This window comes from Homo sapiens, chromosome 13, assembly GCF_000001405.40.
Source record: "Homo sapiens chromosome 13, GRCh38.p14 Primary Assembly".
NCBI lineage: Eukaryota > Metazoa > Chordata > Mammalia > Primates > Hominidae > Homo > Homo sapiens.
In genome coordinates this window covers 54,271,913-54,283,253 of record NC_000013.11, presented here as the reverse complement: position 1 = coordinate 54,283,253, position 11,341 = coordinate 54,271,913, and positions in this window count along the sequence as shown.

The following is an 11,341-nucleotide window of genomic DNA, read 5'->3' as shown; positions in this document are numbered from 1 at the left end:
TATATTTAGAAAACTCCATTGTCTCTGCCCAAAAACTCCTCAAGTTCATAAACAGCTTCAGCAAAGCATCAGGATACAAAATCAATGCGCAAAAATCACAAGCATTCCTAAACACCAACAAAAGACAAGCAGAGAGCCAAATCATGAATGAACTCCCATTCACAATTGCTTCAGGGAGAATAAGATACCTAGGAATACAGCTAAGAAGGGATGTGAAGGACCTCTTCAAGGAGAATTACATACCTCTGTTCAAGGAAATAAGAGAGGATGCAAACAAATGGAAAAACATGCCATGCTCATGGATAGGAGAAATCAATATCGTGAAAATGGCCATACTGCCCAAAGTAATTTATAGATTCAATGCTATTCCCATCAAACTACCATTGACATTCTTCACAGAGTTAGAAAAATCTACTTTAAATTTCATATGGAACCAAAAAAGAGCCCATATAGCCAAGACAATCCTAAGCAAAAAGAACAAAGTTGGAGGCATCACGCTATTTGACTTCAAACTATACTACACGGCTACAGTAATGAAAAAAGCATGGTACTGGTACCAAAACAGACATATAAACCAATGGAACAGAAGAGAGACCTCAGAAGTAACACCACACATCTACAACCATCTGATCTTCGACAAACCTGATAAAAACAAGCAATGGGGAAAAGTTTTTCTATTCAATAAATGGTGCTGGGAAAATGGCTATCCATATACAGAAAACTGAAACTGGACCCCTTCCTTACACCTCACATAAAAATTAACTCAAGATGAATTAAAGACCTAAATGTAAAACCCCAAATCATAAAAACCCTAGAAGAAAACTTAGGCAATACCATTCAGGACATAGGCATGAGCAAAGACATCATGACTAAAACACCAAAAGCAATTGCAACAAAAGCCAAAATTGACAAAGGGGTTCGAATTAAACTAAAGAGCTTCTGCACAGCAAAAGAAACTATCATCAGAGTGAACAGGCAACCTACAGAATGGGAGAAAATTTTTGCAATCTACCCATCTGACAAAGGTCTAATATCCAGAATCTACAAAGAACTTAAACAAATTTACAAGAAAAAAACAAAATACCCATCAAAAAGTGGGCAAAGGATACAAACAGACATTTCTCAAAAGGAGACATTTATGCAACCAACAAACATGAAAAAAAGCTCAACACCACTGATCACTCAAGTAATGCAAATAAAAACTACAGTGAGATACCATCTCATGCCAGTCAGAATGGCAATTATTAAAAAGTCAAGAAACAATAGATGCTGGCAAGGCTGTGGAGAAATAGGAACACTTTTACACTGTTGGTGGTAATGTAAATTAGTTCAACCATTGTGGAAGACAGTGTGGTGATTCCTTAAGGATCTAGAGCCAGAAATTCCATTTGACCCAGCAATCCCATTACAAGATATATACCTAAAGAAATATAAATCATTCTACTGTAAAGACGAATGTTTATTGCATCACTATTTACAATAGCAAAGACATGGAACCAACCCAAATGCCCATCAATGATAAATTGGATAAAGAAAATGTGGTACATATACACCATGGAATACTATGCAGCCACAGAAAGGAATGAGATCATGTCCTTTGCAGGGACATGGATGAAGGTGAAAGCCATCATCCTCAGCAAACTAACACAGGAACAGAAAACCAAACACTACATGTTCTCACTCATAAGTAGGAGTTGACCAATGAGAACGCATCGTCACAGGGAGGGGAACAACACACACCTTGGCCTGTTGGTAGGTGAGGGCAAGAGGAGGGAACATAGAGAATGGGTCAATAGATGCAGCAAGCCAGCATGGCACACGTATACCTACATAACAAACCTGCACGTTCTGCACGTGTATCCCAGAACTTAAAGTAAAATAATAATAATAATAATAATAAAAAATAGTGGGGGACTTCAACACTCCATTGACAGCCCTAGACAGATCATCAAGGCAAAAAGACACATAGAAACACTGGATGTAAACTGGACTCTAGAACAAATAGACTCTAGAACTAACAGACATTTACTGAACATTCTCCCCTAAAACTGCAGGATATACATGCTTTTTATCAGCAAATGGAACATTTTTCAAGATAAACCATGTGATAGACCAATGGAACAGAACAGAGAGCTCAGAAATAAGGTCTCTGTAAAGAAGTCTCAATAAATCACAAAAAAATGAAAATCATATTAAGTATCTTCTCAGACCACAGTGGAATAAAACTACAAATCCATTCCAAGAGGAGCTCTTAACACTCAATGCAAATACATGAAAATTAAACAACATGTTCCTGAATGATCTTTGGGTAAATAATGAAATCAAGATAAAAATTAATACTTTTTTCAAATGAATAAGACTAACACAAGCTATCAAAATTTCTGGGATATGGCAAAAGCATTACTAAGAGGGAAGTTAATAGCACTAAAATATCTACAACAAAAAGACAGAAAGATCACAAATTGATGACCTAACATCACACTTCAAGGAATTAGAGAAGCAAGAACAAACCAAATTCAAAGCTAGCAGAAGAAAAGAAAGAAAGATCAGAGCAGAACTAAATTGAAACCAAAAATAAATAAATAAATAAAATGATAAATGAAATAAAACGTTGCTTATTTAACAAGGTAAACACAATTGATAGACCAGTAGCTAGATTAACCATGAGGAAGAAAGAGGATTCAAATAAGCTCAATCAAAAATGAAAATGGGGACATTACTACTGATAACACAGAAATACAAAAGCTCACTGAAGACTACTATGACCACTTCAGTGAACACAAACTAGAAAATCAGCATGTGGATAAAATCCTGGAGGCATACAACCCTCCAAGTTTGAATCCTGAAGAAATGGAAATCCTGAGCAGATCAATAATGAGAAGTGAGATTGAACTTAGAATAAAAAATCTTCCAACAACAGCAAAGCCCAGGACCAGATGGATTCAGAGCTAATTCTACCAGATGATTAAAGAAGACTTGATACCAATACTACTAAAACTATTCAAAAAATCAAGAAGAATGAAATTCCCTTCTGACTCATTCTATAAAACCAGGATTACCCTGATACCCTGATACCAAAGCCAGAAAAGGATGCAACAACAGAAAATAAATCTACGGACCAATATCTCTGATGAACATAGATGTAAATATCCTTAATAAAATACGGGCAAACCAAATCCAACAGCACACCAAAGAGATAATTCACCACAAGGTGAATACCAGGGGTGCAAGGATGCAAGGATGATTCAACATATCCAAGTCAATAAAAGTGATTCACTACATAAACAGAATTAAAAACAAAAACTATATATAATTTCAATGGATGCAGGAAAAGTATTCAATAAAATCCAACATGTCCTGATGATAAAAAAAAACAACAAACTAGGCATAGCAGGAACATACTTCAAAATAATAAAAGACATATATCACAAATACACAGTCAACATTGTACTGAATGGGGAAAAGTTGAAAACATCCCCCCTCGGAACTGGAAAAAGCCAAGGATGCCCACTTTTACCACTTCTATTAACAAGGAATGGAAACTCTAGCCAGAGCACTAAGGCAAGAGTAAGAAAGAAAGGGCATCCAGATTGAAAAAGAGGAAGTCAAACTCTATTTGCTGATAATATAACCTTATACCTAGAAAACCCTAACGACTTCTCCAAAAGACTCCTAGTTTGAATAAATGAATTCAATAAAGTTGCAGGTTACAAAATCAATGTATATAAATCAGTAGTACTGCTATACATCAACAACTATCAAGTAAGACTCAAATGAAGAAATCAATCCAATTTACAATAGCTACAATAAAAATAAAATACCTATGAATATACTTAAGCAAGGAGGTGAAATATTTCTATAACGGGAACTACAAAATGCTGGTGAAGTAAATCATAAGTAACACAAACAAATGAAAAAACATCCCACACTCATGGAAGGGAATAATTTACTTTGTGAAAATGACCATACTGCTCAAAGCAATCTACAGATTCAATGCAATTCCAATCAAAATACCAATGTCATTTTTCACAGAATTAGAAAAAGTTCCTAAAATTCATATGAAACTAGACAAGAGCCTGAATAGTCAAAGCAATCCCAAGGAAAAAGAAGAAAGCTGGAGGCATCATGTTGCTTAACTTCAATGCTGTACAATGCTGTAGTAGACACATAGACCAATGGAACAGAATAGAGAATCCAGAAATAAAGCCAAATACCTACAACTGCCTGATCTTCCACAAAACAGATAAAAGCATACACTGGGGAAAGGGCACCCAACTCAATAAATCCTAGGAAAATTAGATAGCTAAATGCAGAGGAATAAAACTGGATCCCTATCTATCTCTCAATGTATAAAAAATTTAACTCAAGATAAATGAAAGACTTAAATGTAGAAGCTGAAACCATAAAATTTCTAGGAAAAAAAAAATAGAAAAAACTCTTCTAGACCTTGGCCTAGGCAAACAATTTACAACTAAGACCCCAAAAGCAAATTAAACCAAAACAAAAATAGACAAGTGAGACGTAATTAAACTGAAAAGCTTCTGTACAGCAAAAGAAAAATCACAGAGTAAACAGACAACCAATGGAATGGGAGAAAATATTTGCAAACTGTGTATTCGACAAAGAACTAATATCCCGGCCAGGCGCGGTGGCTCAAGCCTGTAATCCCAGCACTTTGGGAGGCCGAGGTGGGCAGATCACAAGGTCAGGAGATCGAGACCATCCTGGCTAACACAGTGAAACCCCGTCTCTACTAAAAATACAAAAAATTGGCCAGGCGTGGTGGCGGGCACCCGTAGTCCCAGCTACTCAGGAGGCTGAGGCAGGAGAATGGCATGAACCCGGGAGTCGGAGCTTGCAGTGAGCCGAGATTGCGCCACTGCACTCCAGCCTGGGCGACAGAGCAAGACTCCGTCTCAAAAAAAAAAAGAACTAATATCCAAAATCTACAAAGAACTAAAACAAATCAGCAACAAAAACCAAATAATCCTATTAAAAAATGGTCCAACAACATGAATAGACATTTTTCAAAAGAAGATACACAAATGGCCAACAAACATGAAAAAATGCTCATTACTAATCATCAGGGAAATGCAAGTTGAAACCACAGTGAGTTACCACGTGACCCCATACAGAACAGCTATGAGTGAAATGTCAAAAAATAGATGTTGGCACGGACACCATGAAAAGGGAATGCTTACACACTGTTGTAGAAATGTAAATTAGTACAACCTCTATGGAACATGGCATGGAGATTTCTCAAAGAACTAAAAGTAGATCTACCATTCGATCCAGCAGTCCCACTACTGGATGTATGCCCAAAAGAAGTTGTCATATCAAAAGACACCTGCATTTGTACTTTTATCACAACACAATTCACAATTACAAAGCTATGGAATGAGCCATGTGGTATATGTATATATCATGAAATACTACTCAGCTATTAAAAAGAACAAAAGTGTTTCTTGCAGCAACTTGCATGGGACTCTCAAGGCCATTATCCTAAGCAAAGTATCTCAGGAATGGAAAACCAAGTACTGCATTTTCTCACTTATTAGAGGGAGCTACACTGTGGGTATGCAGGAGCATACAGAGTGGTATAATGGATAAGGGAAACTCCGGGTGCAGTGGAGAGGGATGAAAAACTACTTATTGGATACGATGTACACTATTCAGATGACAGGTACAATAAAAGCCCAGAATTTACCACTATACAATTAATCCATGTAATAAAAAATCACTTGTACCCCTAAATCTATTGAAATAAAAACAGTTTCACATTAGTGTAAAGGTAGAGGCCACAATTTTATGTCTAAATTAAGGCATTTATGCTTGGTTTTACTGCAAATTTGTCATATGGAGCCCTCTTTTTCAATGAATATGTATAGATCTTAGATATAATTATTTAAAAAATAAAATAATAATGAAAATAATTTGACAACTATATATTCATAGAAAAAAATAGAAAACCCTATATGAATTGAAATGCATTTTTTTTTTTTTTTTTTTTTTTTGAGACGGAGTCTCGCTCTGTCGCCCAGGCCGGACTGCGGACTGCAGTGGCGCAATCTCGGCTCACTGCAAGCTCCGCTTCCCGGGTTCACGCCATTCTCCTGCCTCAGCCTCCCGAGTAGCTGGGACTACAGGTGCCCGCCACCGCGCCCGGCTAATTTTTTGTATTTTTAGTAGAGACGGGGTTTCACCTTGTTAGCCAGGATGGTCTCGATCTCCTGACCTCATGATCCAGCCGCCTCGGCCTCCCAAAGTGCTGGGATTACAGGCGTGAGCCACCGCGCCCGGCCTTGAAATGCATTTTAAGCTAAATGGTACTTTACCCAAATAAAACTGTTTTTAAATTTGTTTTGAATAAAGTTTTATATTGTTTTTATTTATATGAAGTATATTTTTGCGATTCAATAAGATCAAATTTTTGATTTAAAAATATTTCCATGAATACTCATTACCCTGCTAAGCTTTGTTGACACAGCATTTAATTATGAGAAAATAGGCCGTTTTAAAACTTCGTAATAGCAGTCATCTCCTTTGCAATGGTAGTCATTAAACTTGGGAAAGGGTACACCATAAATCTCACTAACTGGGAAAGATGGCATCTTGAAACTCATAATGTTTAAATCAATAATAGTAATATAAATGTTTTTAAGATTGAAAAGTCTAATTCAAACTGTAGTTATTTTATTCACAATGGAAAATAAGTGTACAGTTCAACCTAGAAATATAATATGGTGAACATTTTAAAAATATGCCTGGTCTCCAAATTAATTATTTTCAGAATCAGGCAGGAAGGATGAGAGAATATTACCCATTGCTTTCTTCATTTGTCATTAATAAGCATTATGCTGTTTATAATTTAAATGGACCTAAGAAGAGCACAATGAAATACTTTTTATTTCATTTTGAAGTGAAAGTAAAACCATCTCATTAAGGAAATCATGTTATAATGACTGAAGAACAACTGGTCTTACATAACTGTATTGGGAGCAAAGGCTATCTTTAATAGACGCAGTGTAAGAGCATTACTGAATTGATAGATTTTCTGTCATGCATTTTCAATTAAAGCCAATTTGTCACCAAAAAAGACATTTCTTAAGTCATTTGCTAATTATGAGTATCAAAAGTTCTTGGAATAAAGAATCACAGAGATACAAAAATGATAATGATTATATGAGTACCACTATGTAATAATATACCAAAAAGGGATCTAAGGAATGTTCTTTTTTGACCTACATTGTTATTTAATAGTGGGGTCTTTAATCTCCCAGCATCTGGGGATTTTCCAGGTATCTTTTTGTTATTGATTTCTAATTTAATTCCATTGTGCTCTGAGAACAGACATTGTATGATTTCTATTCTTTTAAATTTGTTAAGGTGTGTTTTTTGACCCAGAATGTGCTCTATACCTTGGTGAATATTCTATATGATTTTGAAAGAATGTGTATTCCACAGTAGTTGGATGAAGTAGTCTATAGATGCAAAATTTTTAAAAGAGGATACTTTTCCACCAGGAGGATCTTGTTAAAATTTGCCTGTCAGTGAGTAGAGAATATCAGCATGATTTACTTTCATATATTTAATTTCACCCATCTTTATACAAATACTTTCTAAACTCATATTCAACTTATCCTTAATTCTCATTGTGTTTCCAATTATCTCACATTTCAAACCACCTACTTTTCCATTACCATGTCCCCTGTTAACCAATATACAGTCTAAAACTATTTTCATCCTCAACTGCTTACCACCATCAAACTTTATATTTTGACCTCCCTATCTCTGCTAATGAATTACCATTCTCTCAGTCACTTATGCACAAAAACTCAGAGTCATTTTTCTTTCTTTTATATACCCTATAAATAATCCATTGCCACAATTTAATTCTTCCACAGTTTTCTATCACTTTTGTTCCTCTCTCTACATTTTTTATTGTGAACAACGTAGTTATTACTGCATTATTGAGCAATTATAGTAGTTTTCCAATGGGCCCTTTGCTTCTAGTTTTCTGATGCCTAGCAGAGTCCCTCTAATTCACTTTTTATAATACTAGCAGATAAATAATTATAGCACACTAGTGTCACTAAATTACTGCTTCAGCCACAATGTCTTAGTTGCCTAGTCCTTCAACTTACAGGATTCAATATTAAGCAATTTAAATGGATTCAGGATTCTATACACATTTCTTACTTCTTATGCTTCCAACAGAAGCTAATAATTCTACTCAATTTCTTCCAAATAATTTTATGCTATCTTATATCCACACCTGTAAATTTGTCCTTTTTCTTTGCCCATCAAATCTTCCATATTATTTAAACTCTCCATGAATCTTTCCATGTCCATCACAGATCATACTGGCCACTTTAATTTTCTGAAATATCATTTTTAACTGTAATGCCCAATTATTTTTGTACCTCAATTTGCTAACTAAGGTTGAAAATATTTGAGTTCACATTTGCATGTTATGTCTCCATCACAATTACCAGCTTAAGGTAGAAAGAATATTTTAGTTTTTACTGCATTCCTTATAGCATTTAGTAGCATATTTTAGATATTGTAGACATTCTATTATTATTATTTTGACTTTCTGTTTCTGCTTCTGAGGCTATTGTAATTAATATTTTTATTCCGATAAAGGAACTTGATATTATGAGAAGCTCTAATTACTATTACCATTAACTTAAGTATTTACATACTATTAGATGATATAACGTCAGAGACACAGGGATGCCTGAATCCTGGTCCACAAATCACAGCTGCCTTTCTATAGGGTACTTAATGTTAGAAAAAAAATACCAAGTATTAATAGCTACAAAAGTGGGTCATATGGAGTATTATTATAAAAGGCTAAATTGGAGCATTTCTATTAGTCTTTGGTATAAAGGAAGTATTATCCTCCCTTTCCCTGTCCCAAATTTTATTACTTGCATTGGCATGTTTAGGCATTTCTGCCTAAAGAAATGACAAGAAAAAGACAGAGTGGAACGTGCTTCAGAAAAAGCTCTGTGCCCATTTTCCCTTCTATCTATATTGAGTCAAATATATATATATACATATATATATATATATATACATATATATATATATATATATATATATAGAGAGAGAGAGAGAGAGAGAGAGAGAGAGAGAGAGAGACAACAGGACTCCAAGGGTTCCAAACTCAATATATTTATCTTATTATGTTATGATAGAAAAAAATTCCAGATAAAATAATACCAAATAGGGATACATCCATCAGCAATCATAGCACAGTAAACGTTCCTGAGTTGGACTATTTAGATTAGCAACCAATCCCTGTGTGGGGTTAGGGGAACTGGGGGAAAGGGGAAAGAGGAGAAGAAAGGATACTTTTTAGATCACTAGAGTTAAGCAGAGAACAATGGATTCTCTCCTTCCTAACGCATATCTCATCCACACCATCCTGTTTTGTTTATTCATAAGTTCAGTGAAAATCATTTATCATGGAATAGATTGTGTAAATGATATTTTGTGTTCTCAATTCTAAAACTTACATTTTATTTCAGGTTTTTACATTTCTAGGCCAAGGCATGTCTTGCAATTTGTGTGTGTTTTTCATGTGGGCACAGTTATTATATATATTTTTAAGTATGTGACTTTCAAACCTGTGATGTACCAAAAACAGTCACAATCTTAGTATTAAGGAAATGTAATATCATATTTATTGATGTTATATGTGGTACACTTCTCAAGACAATGAAGGAATAGAAGCTTAATCTGAATCGATATATAATCTGTTGGAATCTTCATGTGTACTAACCATTAAACATTATTCTCAGAGTTCCATTTTCTTATGGTTAAAACTACAGTAACTCTTATTTAAAAATTATAGCTGTAACACATACTCAGCTGTAAATTATAAGAGTGGTTTTGTTCATAATTTGTTTTAGCTGAAAAAAATAGGGAGCATTTTGTGTAATATTAGGATGAAATGGTTAAGGGAGAACATTAGCATCCTGAACATAGTTTTTTTTTTTTTAATTTTTCTACTACAGTTGTGGAGCACTGCTACTATGACTATTAGAATTACTAAATTTTATCTTTAGTACATGAGTGGCTTATCAGAGAAGTGGAGTAGAAATTAGTTTCAAGGAGCCAGGCCATCAAGGTTGAGTGTGTGGACCGTGTGAATTTCCTTAGGGATTCCTATAAGTGAGAATATGGGTCAAAAATTAATTAAATGAAAATTAGATTTTCTCAATTTATGCAAAATCAGAGGGCACAAAGTGGCTGTAATTTGGAAAGCTAATGTAAACACTCAAGTTTATAAAACTGTAACATACCAGTTACTACTATAAAATAGATAATAAATTTTAAAGGGATTTTAAAAAGTGGTTCATTAAAATAAAAACATAATAATGGTAGCTGAAATTCAAACAGATAAGATGTTTTAAAATATTATAAAATTTCATAGTCTTTAAAGAAGGAATGGCCATTAACAACAAATGAGTTCTCAGATATAACAAATAAAAATACAGTGTGTATTAAATGTGAATTTCATATTAGACATACTTGTACAAAAAAAATTATTGCTTAGATGGACGTCCTGTATTTTTTTTTTCCGGCAACCCTATACTAAAGCCTTTCTCATTAGAACACAGAAACAACAGATATATGACTTTCTCTAAAATTGCAAGTTGTGTTAAAAACAGTGACAAATATACCAGCCAGCCAAATTTCTTAGCAACTAAGATAAGTTACCTTGCACATTTACCTTGCGTAGTTAATTGCATGTTCTGATTAACAACACAAATAGCAGAGAAAATTAAATAGCTCTAAATCTGTGTAAGGGTCCATTGCTTTAAGCACTTATTTCAAATTACAAAATTCTTTGAAGTCTCTTTTTTTAAAAAAAAGTATACATTGTATTTCATACATATATAAGTTGTTTGTATAAAAATAATGCTCTATATTATTTATAGTTGAATAAAACTGAGAGCCTGGCCAGAGTGTCATATTTATCCCAAAGCTTCTCTTTCACCCTGGCACACTGGAAGGGCATCAACACCCAGTTAGTGAATTGCTGGTACAATGAAGTTAGCACAAGCCTGAAATTTGGCTTAGAATAGCTTCACTGTTTACTTACTTTTTCATCAGTCTGGGAGCAAATTTTTCCTATTTCCTTTTCTCTACTTTTTACACCTTTAGTCTTATTCATACTCCTAAATATTTACCTTATCAATTACCTCTCTTATATTTCCAGCTCCTTATCATTTCTTGCCTAGATATCCACAAAAGCATGTTAATTGTTGTTCTGCTTTCAGCCTATTCCTCTCTTCCTGCTCCAATCCAACCTCCATACTGCACCAGA